General features: G+C 44.7%; 1 long non-coding RNA gene across 7 annotated transcripts in view, besides 1 other annotated feature; it reads right to left on the bottom strand.

Moving 5' to 3' along the window:
• The window catches only part of LOC105375065 (uncharacterized), a 34,842-nt gene that overhangs the window by 2,410 nt on the left and 11,762 nt on the right, over positions 1 to 20,670 (bottom strand). The window contains exons 3-5 of one of the 7 annotated variants that reach the window (XR_007059585.1): positions 20,555 to 20,664; positions 17,352 to 17,462; positions 6,164 to 6,296 (exon numbers count right to left, since the gene is read on the bottom strand). This is a non-coding gene — a long non-coding RNA (uncharacterized LOC105375065). Of the gene's footprint in view, positions 1 to 5,350; positions 6,297 to 17,109; positions 20,665 to 20,670 lie in introns of those variants that run through there. The other 6 variants (XR_007059584.1, XR_001744123.2, XR_002956348.2 and 3 more) reach the window with 6 other exon arrangements.
• Positions 10,241 to 10,740: an enhancer, noted in NCBI's record as "H3K4me1 hESC enhancer chr6:43380603-43381102 (GRCh37/hg19 assembly coordinates)". NCBI's record gives its function as "activates a minimal SCP1, AML or CMV promoter by ChIP-STARR-seq in naive H9 embryonic stem cells {active_cell/tissue: H9 hESC(naive)}" and the evidence as "EXISTENCE:reporter gene assay evidence [ECO:0000049][PMID:30033119]".

Below are 20,670 nucleotides of genomic sequence, written 5' to 3'. Positions count from 1 at the left end.
GAGTGCAGTGGCGTGATCTTGGCTCACGGCAACCTCTGCCTCCCAGGTTCAAGTGATTCTCCTGCCTCAGCCTCCCAAGTAGCTGGGATTACAGGTGTGGGCCACCACACCTGGCTAATTTTTGTATTTTTAGTAGAGACGGGTTTCACCATTTGGCCAGGCTGGTCTAGAACTCTTGACCTCAAGTGATCTGCCGTCTTGGCTTCTCAAAGTGCTGGGATTACAGGCATGAGCCACCATGCCCAGTCTGAATGTTGTGTTAACAGGCATAAAAACAACAGTCATCTCCTTATACATCTCCATCAGAGCTCCTGAATGACTGGATGCATTGTCAATAAACGGTAACATTTTGAAAGGAATCTTTTTTTCTGAGAAGTAGTCCTCCAAAGTGGGCTTAAAATATTCAATAGACCATGTTATAAACAGATGTGCTGTCATCCAGGCTTTGTTGTTCCATTTATAAGGCACAGATAAAGTAGATTTGGCTGTGTGTGGTGGCTCACGCCTGAAATCCCACCATTTCGGGAGGCCGAGGCAGGCAGATCACTTGAGATCAGGAATTTGAGATCAGCCTGGCCAACATGGCGAAACCCTGTCTCTACTAAAAATACAAAAATTAGCTGGGTGTGGTGGTGCGTGCCTGTAATCCCAGCTACTCGGGAGGCTGAGGCAGGAGAATTGCTTGAACCCGGGAGGTGGAGGTTGCAGTGAGCCAAGATTATGCTACTGCACTGCAGCCTGAGTGACAGAGCAAGACACCATCTCCAAAAAAAAAAAAAATAGCTTTAACATAATTCTTAAGAGCCCTAGGATTTTCAGAATAGTAAATGAGCATTAATTTCAACTTAAAGTCACCAATTGCATTAACACCTAACAAGAGAGTCAGCCTGTCCTTTGAAGCTTTGAAGCTAGGCATTGACTTTTCCTCTCTAGCTATGAAAGTCTTAGATGGCATCTTCTTCTGATAGAAAGCTGTTTCATCTACTTTCAAAATCTGTTGTTTCATCCAGGTGTGGTGTCTCACGCCTGTAATCCCAGCACTTTGGGAGGTCAAGGAGGGTGGATCACAAGATCAGGAGTTCGAGACCAGTCTGTCCAACATTGTGAAACTGTGTCTCTACTAAAAATACAAAAATCAGCTGGGCGTGGTGGTGTGTGTCTGTAATCCCAGCTACTCCGGAGGCTGAGGCAGGAGAATTGCTTGAACCCGGGAGGCTGAGGTTGCAGTGATCCAAGATCACACCACTGCACTCCAGCCTGGCGACAGAGTGAGAAATCTGTTGTTTCATGTAGCCACCTTCATCATTGATCTTAGCTAGATCTTCTGGTTAACTGGCGACAGCTTCTGCTTCAGCACTTGCTGCTTCACTAGCACTTTTATATTATAGAGATGGCTTCTTTCCTTAAACGTCATGAATCAACCTCTGATAGCATCAAACTTTTCCTATGCGGCTTCCTCACCTCTCTCAGTCTTCATAGAATTGAAGAGTTAGGGCATTACTCTGGATTAGACTTTGGCTTAAGGGGATGTTGTAGTTGGTTGGGTCCTTATCCAGACACTAAAATGTTCTCCATATCAGCAATAAGGCTGTTTTGCATTCTTATCATTTGTGTGTTCAGTGGAATAGCACTTCTAATTTCCTTCAATAAATTTTCCTTTGCATTCACAACTTGCTGTTTGGCCAAGAGGCTTAGTTTCTGACCTATGTTGGCTTTCAACATGCCTTCCTCACTAAGTTTGATCATTTCTAGCTTTTTTTTTTTTCGCACATTCTCCATCCTAGAAGCTTTTTTTTTTTTTTTTTTTTTTTAAGTGAGAAATGTGCAACTCTTTCTTTCACTTGAAAACTTAGAGGCCACTGGGCCTGGTGCGATGGCTCACGCCTGTAATCCCAGCACTTTGGGAGGCTGAGGTGGGTGGATTGCCTGAGGTCAGGAGTTCGAGGCTAGCCTGGCCAACATGGTGAAACCCCGTCTCTACTAAAAATACAAAAATTAGCCAGGCATGGAGGCGCAAGCCTGTAATCCCAGCTACTCGGGAGGCTGAGGCAGGAGAATCGCTTGAACCCAGGAGGTGGAGGTTGCAATGAGCCGAGATCATGCCATTGTACTCCAGCCTGGGCTACAAGAGTGAAACTCCGTCTCAAAAAAAAAAAAAAGAAAAAAGAAAACTTAGAGGCCATTGTAGAGTTATTTATTTATTTATTTATTTATTTATTTATTTATTTTCAAGATAGAGTCTTGCTCTGTCGCCCAGGCTGGAGTGCAGTGGCACAATCTCAGCTCACTGCAACCTCCGCCTCCTGGGTTCAAGTGATTCTCCTGCCTCAGCCTTCCAAGGAGCTGGGACTACAGGAGCATGCCACCACACTCGGCTATTTTTTGTATTTTTAGTAGAGACAGGGTCTCACCACCTTGTCCAGGCTGATCTTGAACTCCTGGCCTCAAGTGATCCACCTGCCTCGGCCTCCCAAATTGCTGAGATTACAGGTGTGAGCCACCCACCCGGCCTCATTTTAGGGTAGTAATGGACCTAATTTTAATACTGTGTGTGTCAGGGAATAAGGAGGCTCAAAAAGAGGGAGATAGGGGAATGGCTGGTAGGTGGTGCAGTCAAAGAACACATATTTATTAACTTCTGTGTCTTACATAGGTGTGATTTGTGGCATCCCAAAACAATTACAATAGTAACATCAAAGATCACTGATCACAGTGATCACAGATCACTATAACAGACAGAGTGATAATTAAAAGTTTGAAATACTGTGAAAATTACCAAAATGTGATACAGAAACACGAAGTGAGCACACGCTGTTGGAAAAATGATGCTGATAGACTTGCCCAACACCAGGTTGCCACAAACCTTCTATTTGTAAAAATGTAATCTGCAAAGTGCAATAAAGCGAGATGCAGGTGAATGAGTTATGCCTGCATATATTTGAAATTTTTTCACAATAAAGTTTTTAAAAATGGAGATTTGCAGAATATGGAATAGTGTGTTTCAAAGAGTGGTCTATATAGCATTTGCTTTGGAGTCACCTGAGCTGCTTATTAAAATGCAGATTCCAAAGTCCACTCTAGACCTGCTGAATAAGACTCTCTAGGAGAGGATCCTACAATCTGCAGTTGGGTGATTCTTGCACTCAGGTTTAAGCACCACAGATGTCAAGAGCCTTGCCGAGGATTATAGAACTAGTACACATCACAGCACATGTTCTAGATCAGGATCCGCAATACCCAATCCACACCCTTAACACAAGGCCTCATGGTCTAAATTGAATCAGGAACCTCCCTCAAGACTTTTTACTTGAACTACTGTCAAGTACTAAAATATATTATTTTACATTAATAACCTTTTGATTATAATTGCAATACCCTCAGCACTCCTTGCCTATCGCCTTGTAAGATGTGCCTTTGCTCCTCCTTCACCTTCCACCATGATTGTGAGGCCTCCCCAGCTATGTGGAATTGTGAGTCCATTAAACCTCTTTTCCTTTATAAATTACCCAGTCGTGGGTATGTCTTGAAAATGTAGAAATGAAGAAAAGTATGAAGAAAAATTTAAAATCCTTAGAGACACAGTTAGCTAACTGCTAAATTTCAAGCAAGAGCTAACTAGGTGGGGAGACATTATTCAGGGGTACCCCTAACAACCCATCACTTTCTGACTGCTTTCACCATCTACCCCTGCAGTGAATCCTGTGCCTACCATTCCTCTTGGCACTGAGAGCAAGGCAGATGGATCCAAAATCATTATTCTTCTCATTAAATCTTTGGATGTGTCTTCTCACTCACAGACACCCTCTTGACCACAGAATTGCACACACATCAAATGCAGATATGCACATGTGTCCCTGATGTAACTCACAAAATCTAACATTCATACTTATATATTTTTTAGTCCAGCACAGATGCTAACCACTTTTTTTTTCTCTCTGTGCCAAGGTTCTATCTTTTCCTTCTTCCACCTAATTTTCCAGGCTTCAGAGCATGTTGGGGCTTTCAGGTCCCCAGTAAGAATTGTAAGTTATATAATCACTCCTAGTCTGGAAAGCTGATGGGCAGGCAGGTTAATTTAAGAGCTCTAGTTTAACCCAAGAAAATAAGAAAGTTAGAAAAAATAAACTTTTTTTTTCTTTTTTGAGACGGAGTCTCACTCTGTTGCCCAGGCTGGAGTACAATGGCACAATCTCAACTCACCGCAACCTCCGCCTCCTGGGTTCAAGTGATTCTCCTGCCTCAGCCTCCCGAGTAGCTGGGATTATAGGCACACGCCACCACACCTGGCTAATTTTTGTGTTTTTGGTAGAGACGGAGTTTCATCATGTTGGCCAGGCTGGTCTCGAACTCCTGACCTCAGGTGATCCACCCTCCTCAGCCTCCCTTTCTCTTCTTAGTCATTAAAAACCATGGCTATGGCTGGGCACAGTGCCTCACACCTGTATTCCCAGAACTTTGGGAGGCCAAGGTGGGTGGATCACCTGAGGTCAGGAGTTCAAGACCAGTCTGACCAACATAGAGAAACCCGCGTCTACTAAAAATACAAAATTAGCTGGGCATGGTTGCGCATGCCTGTAATCCCAGCTACTCGGGAGGCTGAGGCAGAAGAATGGCTTGAACCCAGGAGTTGGAGGTTTTGGTGAGCTGAGATGGCGCCATTGCACTCCAGCCTGGGCAACAAGAGCAAAACTCCGTCTCAACAACAACAACAACAACAAACAAAAACAAAAACAAACAAAACCCATGGCCGCCTGGCTGACTGGGTAAGCAGCTACTTGCAAGTTTTAGCTACTGTACACAAATACATCATCCTACTACAGAGGTCTGCCCTAAAGTGTATGTGTGGGTTTTTGTTGTTGTTGTTGTTGTTGTTTGGTTTGGTTTTGGTTTTGGTTTGAGACAGGGTCTTTCTCTATGCATCAAGGCTGGAATGTAGTGCCATGATCATGGCTCACCGTAGCCTCCACCTCCTGTGCTCAAGCGATCCTCCTGCCTCAGCCTCCCAAGTATCTGGGACAGTTAAAGTGTGTTTCACTGCATGTATACAGCTGGATGAGGTAAAGTTAAGTCAGAGGACAAGAGGACTCTTTAGAGAGTCCACTTCTGAAAGGAGGGTTAAAGGGACAGATAATGCTTCTGTCAAGGATTCCTCTTCCTCCCTTTCACCCCAAGCTGGTGCTCAGGTGGGGAGGACCCTAGTCTTACCAGCCCTCTGAAGTAGGTGGGAGAGGATGTGGTCCCCTCATTTTATTCTTTCTTTCTTTCTTTCCTTCCTTCCTTCCTTCCTTCCTTCCTTCCTTCCTTCCTTCCTTCCTTCCTTCCTTCCTTTCTTTCTTTCTTTCTTTCTTTCTTTCTTTCTTTCTTTCTTTCTTTCTTTCTTTCTTTCTTTAGGGAAAGAGGGAATGGGATGCCAGAAGCCTATAGCCCACCCAAATACTAACCAGGCACAACCCTGCTTAGCTTCCAAGATCAGACAAGATTGCGTGTTTTCAGGGTGGTATGGCCATAGACCTCTTATTTTCATAACGTTCCAGAGTCCTTATTTTTGATAAGAAGTTTGGCAAAGGAGTCATGCCATCAGTAGGATCCTTTCTGATGGTTACAAATAACCAACTAATTAATATTTGCCCAGGACATAAAGGAGGAAAGATAATTTAAAACAAATAATTCCTCAACATCATATGGCATTGCATCTACACATTTCACATTTTCCAGGTTAAAAAATAAAAATAAATGAAAACAATATCATATGGCCCTTTAGTTTCACCCAGTTTCCCAGAGACCTTTACACCATAGTTTCTGAAAAATGAGTCAAAGGTACAAGTTTGTCTCCTTCCTTCCACTTTGGGGAATTGGGGAATTGTTGGTAAGTGAAGTAACACCTAGGTGGGAAGAAGAGGAAATCATTGGTCACAAGATAATTCACAGTCCATAAAGTGGAAGGATGACCAAATTCTCCAAAACCTGGGTGGCCAAAGAAAGATTCTATTAATACAACTTTGAAAACTGACTTCAAACTCATTACACCCAGATCTGACGTGAACTGAGTGTGGATGCCCAGATGCTTGGAGTAGAGGTGGGCAGAGATGGCAGGAGTGGAGGTGGGCAGGTTCAGTGGAGTGCCTAGGAGGTAGTGGGAGGTAAGGGAAGGAAGCAGAAGTACCTTGAGGAATGATGAAGAGTCCTCACAGCACGATGGCTTTCCAAGGCAGTAGGTCCTGACTTCCAGCTCCCCTCTTGGCTTACTTTCTCCTTTCTGCCCATACTTTTCTCTACAGTTATCAGAAGCTGATTATCTGGAAGGCAAGGGGACAAGTGTAGCTAGAGCTGGGGCTGGGCAAGTCCACTGCCACTCGGCCAGGTCACCATTTTTTGAACATCTTCATTGAGATATAATTCACAAACCATAGAATTTACCCCTTTAAAGTGTAAAATTCAGTGACTTTTTAGTACATTCAGATTTATGCAACCGTCATCATATACATATTTTTTTAAGATAGAGTCTTATTGTTGCCCAGTCTGGAGTGCAGTGGTGTGATCTTGACTCACTGCAGCTGCCACCTCCCGGGTTCAAGTGATTCTCCTGACTCAGCCTCCTGAGTAGCTAGGACTACAGGCGCACACCACCATGCCCAGCTAATTTTTTTTTTTTTTTTTTTTTGGTAGAGATGGTGTTTCGCCATGTTGGCCAGACTGGTCTCGAACTCTTTTTTTTTTTTTGAGACGGAATCTCGCTCTGTCGCCCAGGCTGGAGTGCAGTGGCGCGATCTCTGCTCACTGCAAGCTCCGCCTCCCGGGTTCACGCCTTTCTCCTGCCTCAGCCTCCCAAGTAGCTGGGACTACAGGTGCCTGCCACCACGTCCAGATAATTTTTTGTATTTTTAGTAGAGACGGGGTTTCACCGTGTTAACCAGGATAGTCTCGATCTCCTGACCTCGTGATCCGCCTGTCTCAGCCTCCCAAAGTGCTGGGGTTACAGGCGTGAGCCACCGCACCTGGCCCTCGAACTCTTGACCTCAGATGATCTGCCTGCCTTGGCCTCTCAAAGTGCTGGGATTACAGGCCTGAGCTACCAAGCCCAGCCCATAATTAATTTGAGAAGATTTTCATCACTCCCTAAAAAATCTCCATACCTATTAGCAATTAGTCCCCGTTTCAACCCACCTGCCGCAGTGCTTGGCAACCATGAATACACTTTTCTGTATCTATAGATTTTCTTGCCTATACTGAACATTTCATGTAAATGGAATCATACACGTGTGTCCTTTTGCATCTGGCTTTGTTCACTTAGCATGTTTTCAAGGTTCATCCATGTTGTGGCATGTGTCAGTACTTCATTTTAACACTGAATAGTATTTCTTTGTACAGATATACTGCACTTGATTTTCCATTTATCAGTTGATGAACATTCATGTTTCTACTTTTTAGTTATTATGAATAATGTTGCTATAAGTTATTCAGGTACAAGGTTTTTGTGGATATAGGATTTCTTTCTTTTTTTTTTTTTTTTTTTTTTGCAGCTAGGAGTGCAATTGCTGGGCCACATGGTAACTCCAATTTTAACATTTTGAAGAGCTACCAAACTGTTTTGCAAAGTGACAGCAGCATTTTGAAATCCCAGCAGCAGCTGGGCATGGTGGCTTATGCCTTTAATCCCAGAACTTTGGGAGGCTGAGGCAGGAGGATTGCTTGAGCTCAGAAGTTCAAGACCAGCCTGGGCAACAAAGCAAGACCTGGTCTCTACAAAACAAAACAAAACAATATATAGATAGATAGATAAATAAAATACATATATATTTATATATACAGTAATCAATACATACACACACACACACACACACACACACACATATATGGCCAGGCGTGGTGGTGCACACTTGTAGTCCCAGCTACTCAAGATGCTGAGGCAAGAGAATTGCTTCAGCCCAGGAGTTCAAGGCTGCAGTGAGCTATGATGGCACCATTGCACTCCAACCTGGGCGACAGAGTGAGACCTTGTCTCACAAATAAAATAAAATAAAATCCCACCAGCAATGTATACAGGTTCCAATTTCTTTATATCCTCACTGACACCTATTGTTTGAGTTTTTATTATACCCATTATAGTGGGTGGGTAGTGGCATCTCGGTCACCATTTGTGACGTCACCTGCAATGATATTAGTCTTTTTTTTTTTTTTTTTTTTGAGACAGAGTCTGACTCTGTCGCCCAGGCTTGGAGTGCAGTGGCGCGATCTCGGCTCACTGCAACTTTCACCTCCTGGGTTTAGGTGATTCTCCTGCCTCAGCCTCCCGAGTAGCAGGGATTACAGACACCCACCACCACACCCAGCTAATTTATGTATTTTTAGTAGAGACAAGGTTTCGTCATGTTGACCAGACTGGTCTCGAGCTCCTGACCTCAGGTGGTCCGCCCGTCTCAGCCTCCCAGAGTGCTGGGATTACAGGCATGAGCCACTGCACCTGGCCAATGCTAGTCTTAAGGCTGGAATTAGGCCTGGCCAGCTTGTCATCTGCATCTCTTTTCTAAAGATGACATTTCATATGTATAGAATCATACAATATGTAGTCTTTTGCTCTGGCTTCTTTCACTTAGAATAATGTTTTTGGAGTTCACCCATGTTGTAGCATGCATCAGTACCTCATTCATTTTTTTTGGGTGTGAGGTAAAATATACGTAACATCACCACTTTAATCATTTCAGCATACAGTTCTGTTGCACTAAGTATATTTGGAATACTGCACAACCATTATCACCGTTCATCTTCAGTACTGTTTCTTCTTTTTTCTTAGATCCAGGGACAAACTAGATCCAGTACTTTTTTCATCTTCCCAAACTGAAACTCTGTACACATTGAACAACAACTACCCGTTCCCTCTCTCTAGCTCCTGGCAACCACCACTCTATTTTCTGTCTCTATAACTTTGACTGCTCCAGGTACCTCATAAGTGGAATCACACAACATTTGTCCTCTTATAACTGGCCTATTTCAGGGTTCATCCATGTTGTGGCACATGTCAGACTTTGTTTTTATAGCTAAATAATATTCCATTTTCTGGATAAACATTTGTTTATAGATGGTGATGGATGAATATACATTTTGTTTACCCATTCCTCTATTAACTGACATTTGGGTTGTTTCCATCTTTTAGCCCAAATGAATAATGGTATGTTATTTATTTATCTTTTTTTTTTTTTTGAGACGGAGTCTCACACTTTCACCCAGGCTGGAGTGCGGTGGTGCAATCTCAGCTCACTGCAAGCTCCGCCTCCTGGGTTCACACCATTCTCCTGTCTTAGCCTCCCGAGTAGCTAGGACTATAGGCACCCACCACCACGCCCAGCTATTTTTTTGTATTTTTAGTAGAGACGGTGTTTCACCGTGTTAGCCAGGATGGTCTCGATCTCCTGACCTTGTGATCCTCCCATCTCGGCCTCCCAAAGTGCTGGGATTACAGGCGTGAGCCACCCTGCCCAGCTGAATAATGCTATTGTTATGGGATCTTTGAGGTGTCACTTTTCTGGCCAGAAACCTCTAGGGCCAGTGGTGCCTTTGTGTGACTCGGGCCCACTCAGCTCCTTCTACCCACTCAGGCTGGCAGGCTGTGCTTGACTTATGCTACCTGTCTGGATCCCTTGCCTGACAAGGGTGAGCCAGGCATGGAATGGCAAGGGGTGTGTGGGCAAGAAAGCACAGGGTCCAGCCACTGTACACAGTCAGGCATGCTGGCTGCTGCAGGGGGGCAGGCAGCTCCAAGTGCTGGCACAGGTGGCAGCTCTCTGTGAGGCTGCAGCTGGACCAAGTGGACTGCAAGCAGCTTCCCTGGCTAGCACCGGGAATGCAGTGGCACCTGGAAGCTTGGAGACACCAGGAACCACAGGGCCTCAAAGAGGGAGTCACAGCCCTGGCTTGGGGAGGTCCCAGGTCTGGGCTCCCTGAAGGGCTGCAGCTCTTCTCTTCTCCGCCTGCAAAGTGGCGAGTAAGGGGCATGTTTCAGCCCTGTTCGTGTTACAGGGCTTGCCATTTGATGGGTCCCGAGTTCTTGTCTTGCCACCAGGAAGAATGAGGCATGCAGACGAGTGGAGGGTGGAGGCATGCAGACAAGTGGAGGGTAAGCAAGATGAAGAGGAGCTTTATCGAGCAGTAGAACAGCTCAGAGGTCTGCTATGGGTAGCCCCTTTCTGCAGCCAAGGTGTTCCGATGAGTGTTCAGCCCTCAGCAGAGAGGACGAGGCACTGGTGTTGGTGGCTCCTCTCTGCTCCTGGTTGTCCCCTCATCTCTGCAGTTCTTAGCAGAGAGGCCCTGGAGTGAGTTGCTCCTCTCTGCAGGCAGGTCATCCCTGGAGTGGGAAGCTCCTCTCTGCTGCTGGTCACCTGGGTGTCTGCTCTGCTCTGCTGAGTCCAGGGTGTTTATGGGCTTGAGTGGGGAAGTGCATACTGACTGGTCCATGGGCAGCCATGTAGGGGCCCAGGAAAAAGCACTATGAGTTCCCCCTCCTGTAGGCAGGACTGGTAGCCTGGCCCCCAGGTCACAGGACTTCCTTAGCTTGAAGGTGGGGCTTCACCGGGACTGCCCTCTTCTGCCCAGGAGCCATTGCCTCCTGCCACCAACATCCATGGCACTCAGGTTACTTGTGCCAACGGGCATCTGCAGGCCAGCACTGAGCTGCCCTCAGCACCCCCTCAGCTTCCCTCCTGTGCTCATTGGTGCCCAAAGTCTGGAGGGGGACGAGGCAGCAGGGGGCTGGCATGTCAGTGCGTCCTGAGTGTGCACCCACCCGGCAGGGCTGCCACAGCATCCAGGCTCAGCCCCACCCTTGCTCCATGATCGGAGCTGGTGCTGGAAGCGGGGAGAGGGCAGGCAGCAGCAGCAGGCACTTCTGAGCCTGCAGGGAGGAGGGGGGCCTTCCAGGCCCCCAAGAGCACAGAGATGCCTGGGTCCACAGCTGGGGTTGGGCTGCTGCATTGGCACCCTGGGAGGGTGGGGCTCCTGCCTGCTCCATGGAGTGGGGGGCCCAGGCCTCCCTGCTGCAGCTGGCATCTTGGCAGTGGCCAGCCATCTGGAGCCACCGCTGCCATCATTATTACAAATATTCATGTATAAGTCTTGTGTGGGCATATGTTTTCAGTTTCCTTGGGTATATACCTATGAGTTGAAGTTTTAGACCATATGTTAATTCCATGTTTAATCATTTGAAGAACTGCCAGACTGTTTCCCAAAGCAGCCACACCATTTTACATTTCTACCAGTAGTGTGTGAGAGTTCCAATTTCTCCACATCTTCACCAGCACTTTTATTTTCCGACTTTTTAATTCTGGCCATCCTAGGATGTGTAATGGTATCTCACTGTGATTTGGATTTGCATTTCCCTGATGGGTAATGATGTCTACCATCTTTTCATCCACTTATTGGCCATTTGTATATCTTGGAGAAATGCTCATTCGGATCCCTTGCCTTTTTTTTTTTAATTAGGCTGTCTCTTTATTATTGAGTTGTAAGAGTTATTTTTATATTCTAAATCCAAGTGTCTTATCACATATATGATTTGCAGATATTTTCTCCCATTCTGTGGTTTGTCTTTTCACATGAGTGTCTCTCTGTCACTCAAGCTGGACTGTGGTGGTATGAACATGGCTCACTGCAGCCTTGACCTTCTGGGCTCAAGCAATCCTCCTGCTTCAGCCTCCCAAGTTGCTGGGACCACAGGTATGTGCCACCATGCCATGCCTGGCTAATTTTTTTATTTTTGTAGAGACAGGCCTTTGCCATATTACCCAGGTGGGTCTTGAACTCCTGGGCTCAAGCAATCCTCTCACCTTGGCCTTCCTAAATGTTGAGATTATAGGCATGAGCACCACATCCAGTCTTTTCACATTCCTTTTTTTTTTTTTTTTTGAGACCAGAGTCTCACTCTGTCACTCAGGCTGTAGTGTAGTGGCACGATCTTGGCTTGCTGCAACCTCCAACTCCCTGGTTCAAGCGATTCTCCTGCCTCAGCCTCCCAAGTAGTTGGGATTACAGGTGCCCACCACCACACCTGGTGAATTTTTGTATTTTTAGTAGAGATGGGGTTTTGCCATGTTGCCCAGGCTGGTCTTGAATTCCTGACCTCAAGCAATCTGCCTGCCTTGGGCCCCCAAAATGCTGGGATTACAGGTGTGAGCCACTGCACCTGGCCCTTCACATTCTTCTTTCACATTCTTCATAGTGTCCTTTGAGACACAAAAGCTGTTAATTTTGATGAAGTCCAATTTATCTAATTTTTAAAAAAATTTTTATTATACTTTAAGTTCTGGGATACATGTGCAGAACATGCAGGTTTGTTACATAGGTATACATGTGCCATGGTGGTTTGCTGCACCCATCAACCCATAATCTACATTAGGTATTTCTCCTAATGCTATCCCTCCCCTTGCCCCTCACCCCCCAACAGGCCCTGGTGTGTGATGTTCCTCTCTCTGTGCCTATATGTTCTCATTGTTCAACTCCCACTTACGAGTGAGAACATGTGGTGTTTGGTTTTCTGTTCCTGTGTTAGTTTGATGAGAATGATGGTTTCCAGCTTCATCCATGTCCCTGCAAAAGACATGAACTCATTCTTTTTTATGGCTGCATAGTATTCCATGGTGTGTATGTGTCCTGACAGGGACTGCTTTAAACCTGATCAGTATGGGGAGTATTGCCATCACAACAGTGTTAGGTCTTCTAATCCATGGACATGGTATATTCTCCCTTTATTTAGATCTTTACTTTCTTTTGACAATGTTTTTATAGTTTTCAGAGTTTTTCTTTTGTTAAATTTATTCCCAAGTATTTTATTCTATTCAATGTTATTATGAATTGAATTGTTTACTTACTTTCAAAAAGTATCTAACCCCTGGCAACTCCTAATTTGTTTCCATCTCTGTAATTTGGTTATTTTGAAAATGTTTTTAAATAGAATCATGTGACATTTTGAAGTTGGCTTTTTTTTTTCTTTCTTTTTGAGACAGAGTCTTGCTCTTTTATCCAAGCTGGAGTACAGTGGCTCTGTTACCCAGGCTGGAGTACAGTGGCTCAATCTCAGCTCACTGCAACCTCTGACCCCCAGGTTCAAGCGATTCTCCTGCCTCAGCCTCCTGAGTAGCTGGGATTACAGGCGCATGCCACCATGCCTGGCTAACTTTTGTATTTTTAGTAGTGACAGGGTTTCACCATGTTGCCCAGGCTGGTCTCAAACTCCTGACCTCAAGTGATCCGCCTGCCTTAGCCTCCCAAAGTGCTGGGATTACAGGTGTGAGCCACTGCACCCAGCCTGAAGTTGGCTTTTTTTTAACTCAGAATAATGACTCTGAGATCCATCTAAGTTGTTGTGTATGCCAATAGTTTTTTCCTTTTTATTGCTGAGTAATACATGATATGGATGTACCAGTTTGTTTTACCGTCCACCTATTGAGAGACTTCTTGATTGTTTTCAGTTTTTGGCTAGCACAAATTAAGCTGCTGTGAACATTCATGTGTTTGTTTTTGGGTGGATGCAAATTTTCATTTTTCTGGGGTAAATATCCAGGAGTGCAACTGCTGTGTTGTATGGTAAATGTCTACTTTTTTTAAAAAAGAAACTGCCTAACTGTCTTGCAAAGTGGCTGTTCTATTTTACTTTCCCACCAGCAATGTATGAGAGATACTGTTTCTCCACATCATCACTGGCATTTGGTATTATCATAGCTTTTTTATTATAGCTGTTCTACTAGGTGTGGAGTGCTATCTCATGGTAATCTTCATTTGCATTTTCCTGTGACTAGTGATATTGAACGTCTTTTCTTTTTTCTTTTTTTGAGATAGCCTTGCTCTGTCACTGAGGCTGGAGTACAGTGGTGCCACCTCTGCTCACTGCAGCCTCTGCCTCCTGGGTTCAAGCGATTCCCCTGCGTCAGCCTCTTTAGTAGCTGGGACTACAGGCAGGCATGACGGGGTTTCACTACGTTGGTCAGGATGGTCTTGATCTCCTGACCTCATGATCTGCCGGCCTCGGGCTCCCAAAGTGCTGGGATTACAGGCATGACCCACCACACCCAGTGTGCTTATGTGCCATCTACATACTCTTTTTGATGAAATGTCTCTTCATAGTTTTTGCCCATTTTCTAATGGAGATGTTTGTTTTTTTATTACTGTTGAGTTTTGTTTTTGTTTTGAGATGGAGTCTTGCTCTGTCACCCAGGTTGGAGTTCAGTGGCGTGATCTCACCTCACTGCAACTTCTGCCTCCCAAGTTCAAGTGATCCTCCTGCCTCAGCCTCCCGAGTGGCTGGGACCACAGGCATGTGCCACCAAGCCCGGCTAATTTTTATATATTTATTAGAGATAGGGTTTTACCGTGTTGGCCAGGCTGGTCTCGAACTCCTGGCCTCAGGTAATCCATCCACCTCGGCCTTCTAATGTGCTGGGATTATAGGAATGAGCACCATGCCTGGCCAAGAGTTCTTTATATATTCTACATAACAGTCTTTGATCTGATATGTGGATATCAGGTATTTTCTTGCAAATATTTTCTTTTAGTTTGTAGCTTGTATTTTTTTCTTTGTTATTATTATTATTATTATTTGAGACAAGGTCTTGCTCTGTCACCCAAACTGGAGTGCAGTGGTGCAATCACGGCTCACTTGCAGCCTTGACCTCCTGGGCTCAAAGTGATCCTCCTACCTCAGTCTCCCAAGTAGCTAGGACCACAGGTGTATGCCATCATGCCTGGCTAAATTTTTTTTTTTTTTTTTTTTTTGGTAGAGATGGCATCTCCCTATGTTTCCCAGGCTGGTCTTGAACCTCTGTGCTCAGGTGATCCTCCCAGCCTCCCCAAGTGCTGGGATTGCAGGGATGAGCCACCACACCCGGTTAATTTTTGTATTTTGTAGAGATGGGGTTTCACCATGTTGCCCAGGTTTGTCTTGAATTCCTGGACTCAAGTGATCTGCCCGCCCCGGCTTCCCAAGGTGCTGAGTTTACAGGTGTGAGCCACCATGCCCCGCACTGAAGGATCTATTTCTAAGGTGGCTCAGTCACATGCTGGGTAAGTGAGTGTTGGTTGTTAGTGGAAAGTCTTAGTTCTCTTCTATATGAGCCTCTCCATAAGGGCTGCTTGAGTGTCTTTATGACATGGTGGTTAGGTTACTCAATAGTAAGCAATCCAAGACAGCAAGGTGAGGGCTGAAATGCCCTTTATGTTCTAGCCTGAGAAGTCACACATTAATGACACAGACTAGCTGTGATTCAGTGAGGTAGGGGACAACTCAAAGGTGTGAATATCCAGAGGCAAGGACATTGGAAACCATCGTGGAGACTGGCTACCACAGCTGGTCAATAGCAGAACTGAATAGATGCAATTCGACACAGTCTGGCTCCAGAGTTAGGAAGCATGAACACCCTCTTATACTGGCTTAGTATGGTAAGATTTGGGCTGCCTGGGAAATGTGACTTCTGTAAAGTAGAAGAAGGGCAACTGAGGAAGGGTAGGTGGCATTTCTATTTTAGGAAAATAGAACAATTTTGAGAAAGGAGCACATGGAAACTGAGTATTTGGTTACTTATTTTCTTAAAAATATCCAGGCTGGGCCGGGCACGGTGGCTCACGCCTGTAATCCCAGCACTTTGGGAGGCCAAGGTAGGTGGATCACAAGGTCAGGAGTTCAAGACCAGCCTGGCCAACATGGTAAAGCCCCGTCTTTACTAAAAAAATACAAAAATTAGTCAGGCATGGTGGTGCGCACCTGTAGTCCCAGCTACTTGGGAGGCTGAGGCAGGAGAATTGCTTGAACCTGGGAGGTGGAGGTTGCAGTGAGCCAAGATCATGCCACTGCACTCCAGCCTGGGCAACAAAGAAAGATTCCGTCTAAAAAAAAAAAAAAAATCCAGGCTGTAAACTTCTTGGAAAGTTGCCTTATACCTCAGCCTGCTGTCCTGAATGACTGTTCCACATCTTCTCCAACCTCCTACACCTTCTGCCCTTCTCCTTCTCTACTGATGACATGGCTTCCTAACCTTCAGAGAAGATTCAGGCACATCTACCCACTGATAGTATCTATGCTTACACATTCTCCCTGCCCTCCTTGAACAGTCTGTGCTCCCAAGGTCAACTCTTTGACTTGGCTACTAGATCTCTTCTCTCAACTACTCAAGGACATTAGGCTTGGCAGCCATTCATCCCTTTATCTGAAATTTGTCTCTCTCTCGGCTCATTCCCATCAGCATATATGTCAGGCTATACTATCTTCCATCTTTTTTTTTTTTTGAGACAGGGTCTTACTTTGTCACCCAGGCTGGAGTGCAGTGGCATGATCTCGGCTCACGGAAGCCTCAACCTCCCAAGTTCAAGCGATCCTCCCAATTTAGCCTCCTGAGTAGCCGGGACTACAGGTGCACACCACCAAGCCTGGCTAACTTTTGTATTTTTTTGTAGAGATGGGGTTTCTCCATGCCCAGGCTGGTCTTGAACTCCTGGGCTCAAGGGATCCGCCTGCCTTGGCCTCCCAAAGTGCTAAGATTATAGGTGTGAGCCACCGCACCCGACCTTGTCTTCCATTTTAAAAGTAAAACAAAAGCAAAAAACTTTCTCAATGCCCTTCCCCCTTCAGCTACTGTCCCAAGTCTCTGCTTCTCTTTAGAGCAAAAAAAAAAAATTTTTTTTTGAGATGGAGTCGCTCTGTTGCCCAGGCTGGAGTGCAGTGGTACAATCTTGGCTCACTGCAACCTCTGCCTCTTGGGTTCAAGCGATTCTCCTGCCTCAGTCTCCTGGTAGCTGGGATTACAGGCATGCACCACCATGCCTGGCTAATTTTTGTATTTTTAGTAGAGACGGGGTTTCACCATGTTGACTAGGCTGGTCTCAAACTCCTGACCTCAGGTGATATGCCCGCCTCGGCCTCCCAAAGTGCTGGGATTACAGGCATGAGCCACAGCGCCCGGCCTACAGCAAAACTTATGGAAAGAATGGTCAGTTATCTGTCTCCACTTTCTCTTCTCTCATTATCTGTGAGCACATTTTAATTAGGCTTTTGCCCACATCGCTCTGCTGAAACTGCTCTTTTCAAAGTAGTCAGTGACTTTCATATTAAATTAAACGGTCATTTCTCAGGCCTTACTCTTCACTTATCATTGTATTGGTTATCTGTTGCTATGTAACAATTACCCTCAAATTTAGTGACTCGAAACAAGAAGCAATTATCTCATAGTTTCTATGGGTCAGAAATCCAGGAATAGCTTAGCTATGTGATTCTGGATTAGGTTCTCTTATGAAGTTTCATTCAAGGTGTTGGCAGGGGTTGTAGTCATGTCAAGTCTTAGAAGGTTGGAGGATCCACTTCCAATATACTCACTCACATGTCTGGCAAATTAGTGTTTGTTTTTGATAGTAGGCCTTAGTTCTTCACCATGTAGACCTCTTCATAAGGTTGCTTGAGCATCCTCACAATATGGCAACTGGCTTCTCCTCTGGGAGAAGGGATTTCAAAGAGAACAAAGCAGAAGTTGAAATATCTTTTATGATCTGGTCTCATAAGTTGCACTCCATTATTTTCGGAATATCTTACTGGTTACACAAGTTAGTCTGATTCAAAGTAGAAAGAGATTACATGGGGACATGTGTACCATGAAGCAAGAGTCATTGGGGGGCCATCTTGGAGGCTAACAGAGTGATTATATGACTCAGTTAATTGCTCCCTTCCCCCTCTCTTTCCTCAATACTCCATCATTCTTGATATAATTTTATTTCTTGACTTTCTGGATACCACATATTCTTGGTTCTCTTCCTACCTCATTGGTTGCTTCTCAGTTTTCTTTCTCTTTATCCTCTCAACCTCAAAGTGTTAGAGCCTCTTAGGGTTCATTTCCCATCTGTAATGGATGCTGTTGTCCTACTTAGATCTCCTTTACAGGGCTAGTTGTACCCATTCCTCAGCTCCTGTGAGTGTTGGCTACTAATGGGTCATCATTTCCTTCTCCTCTGGAGAATTGCTCTCCACAAAGTGGATCTGCTTTGCCTGAGAGATTAACTACTGCTCTCCACTGCCCCGCAGACCTGTCATTGACTAATGACTAATGACTAATGACTAATGACTAAACGAGGTCAAGTAAAAAAGGCCAATTCCTTGCCTTGGTAGAACCAGCTTTGTGGAATAATTCATGCTCCAGAGTTCTCACAGGATCAAACTAAAGACCATATCTTTGCCTAGCTCTTTCTCCTGTCCTATTCTGTTTCCCTCACTCGTTTTCTCCTGACAGCACTCCCTCAAAGATCACATACACTCGAATCCCTATCTCAGTTCTGCTTCTAGGGATTCTGATCTAAGACACCAACCCACTTTTTTTCTGTTTATACTCATTCCCTAGGCTTCCACTGCTCTTCAAACATACCAAGGGTCTGTGCCACCTCAGAATCTTTCTCTCTGCCTGTCACCCACATCCCCAGATATCTGCATGGTTCAATTCCTCACTTCCTTCAGGTCTCTGCCCAAAGTTCACTTTATCAGAGAGGTCTTCCCTGTCCGCCTTATATAAATAGATGTATATCTCCATCTATCACTCTCTAACCCCCTATCAGATTAATTTTTTCAAAATGCATATTACCATTTGAGACATCATCTATCTACTTTTTATTTGTTTAGTGTCTGTCCCCTCCTCCGCTAGGCTATAAGTTCCATGAGAGCAGGGATTTTATTATTTTTGCTCATTGTCATTTTCCCAGTGCATAGAACAGTGCCTGACACATAGTAATTACTCAATAAATTATTTGTTGAATGAATGAATAAATGGACTCATTAATAGGGGAAACTGGGCCAACCTATAAAAAGCTTCCTTGTTCCCACCTATTCTCCCAACAGCCCTGCAGTGGGAAACTGGGCAAGCTCATAGCAGCAGCTAGAAATACCACTTTTGAAAAATAACAACAATATCTGTACCTAATTGAGTGCCTATTATGTGTCCAATACTGTTCTTGGCACTTTCACACATTAGCTCTAATCTTTAGAACTACCCTGCAAACTGGGTATAGAGCATGGTGGTTAACCAACCAAACTTTGGAGACAACGATTAAAATCTTGCCTCTGCTACTCTGTAACTATGTGATCTTGGGCAAGTTTTTGAGCTTGAAGAGTCCTAAATGTGGTTAATAATAGATCCCACCTCCAAGTGGCCAGCTCCTGGTACTATCACAATGTGTCCATGTTTGTCTCCTCCACCAGAGCAAAGTTCCTGAAAGTAATAACAGAGTCTCTTTCACAGAGTGGGTGGGAAGATTAAATGAGACAACGTATTCAAAAGATCTAGCAAATTGCCTGGAATATATTAGTTGCTTAATAACTCTTACTATTATTATTATACCATTTTTCAGATGAAAAAACACCAGTGATGTGGCTGGACTCCAGGGTGAATGGCCATGTCAGACCCCAGAGATGCTGCATCCTTAACCTTATTCTCCCAGCCTCAAAGATTCCCTAGGCATGGCAGGCTATGAAGCAGAGACACGAATCAAGGTGATGAGGGCTGGGGCATTAAATGGTAACCTGGATGGACAGTAGACTAGGAGGCTCCTCTAATGCCATATCACTGCAGGAGTCGCAGAACGTTGGCACAATTCAGGGAAGTCCCCCTAAGTTGAATTGACAGCCATTTTGATGGGATAGAGACTAAAGGTTGAAGTTAATTTGATTTCCAGAATATGAAGAAATTAGATGTTTTGGGCATGTATAAGTTTATGAACTGAGATTCAAACTCACAATATCAATAGTACAAAGCACTGTGTAATAAAGCCAAGCAATCAGCGCAATGGCTTTTCCTGGAATTCAGAGGAGAGAGATCATTGAGAGCAATCAAGAAAGGTTTCCTGGAGGATGGGACCTGGAACAATAATAGTACTACTAATAACTATTTATGGAGGGCTTGATTCTTTATATATTATTGATATGGTTTGGCTGTATCCCCACCCAAATCTCATCTTGTAGTTTCCATAATCCCCACCTGTCGTGGGAGGGACCCAGTGGGAGGTAATTGAATCGTGGGGGTAGTTACCTCCATGCTGTTCTCATGATAGTGAGTTCTCACGAGATATGATGGTTTTAAAAGGGGCTTTTCCCTTTTCACTCATTCTTCTTCTCCCTGCTGCCATGTGAAGAAGGACACGTTTGCTTCCCTTTCTGCCATGATAGTAAGTTTCCTGAGACCTCCCCAGCCATGCTGAATTGAGTCAATTAAACCTCTTTCCTTTATAAATTACCCAGTCTCGTGTATGTATTCACAGCAGCAAAAAATGGACTAATACAATTACTTCTTTTAAAGTATTCACAATAAACTAGCAATATATGTAAATGTTATCATCTCCATTTCACAGATAAGGAAACTGAAGCTCAGAGAGTGTAAGTAACTTTCTCATTATCATAAAGCTAATAAGTAGTTTGAGTCAGGATTTGAACCTAGGTCTATCTCTGGTCCTATGGAAACATGCCCATGGCCCATCCCTTTCCACACTTGAGTGCCTGTCTTGAAGGATCAAGCTGAAACTCAGCTCCCTCCCCTTGACAGTGACATACCCAGCAATCCCAAGTGGATTCCCACAGCACTTTGATACCACCTCCAAGTGGCCACTTCCTGGAACTCTCACAATGTGTCCATGTTTGTTTCCTCCACCAGAGCAAAGTTTCTGAAA

The sequence above is a fragment of the Homo sapiens genome, chromosome 6, assembly GCF_000001405.40.
Source record: "Homo sapiens chromosome 6, GRCh38.p14 Primary Assembly".
In the NCBI taxonomy this organism is placed as follows: Eukaryota; Metazoa; Chordata; class Mammalia; order Primates; family Hominidae; genus Homo; species Homo sapiens.
Note: the sequence above shows the minus strand (reverse complement) of the source record. Positions and strands in the feature narration are given on the sequence as shown.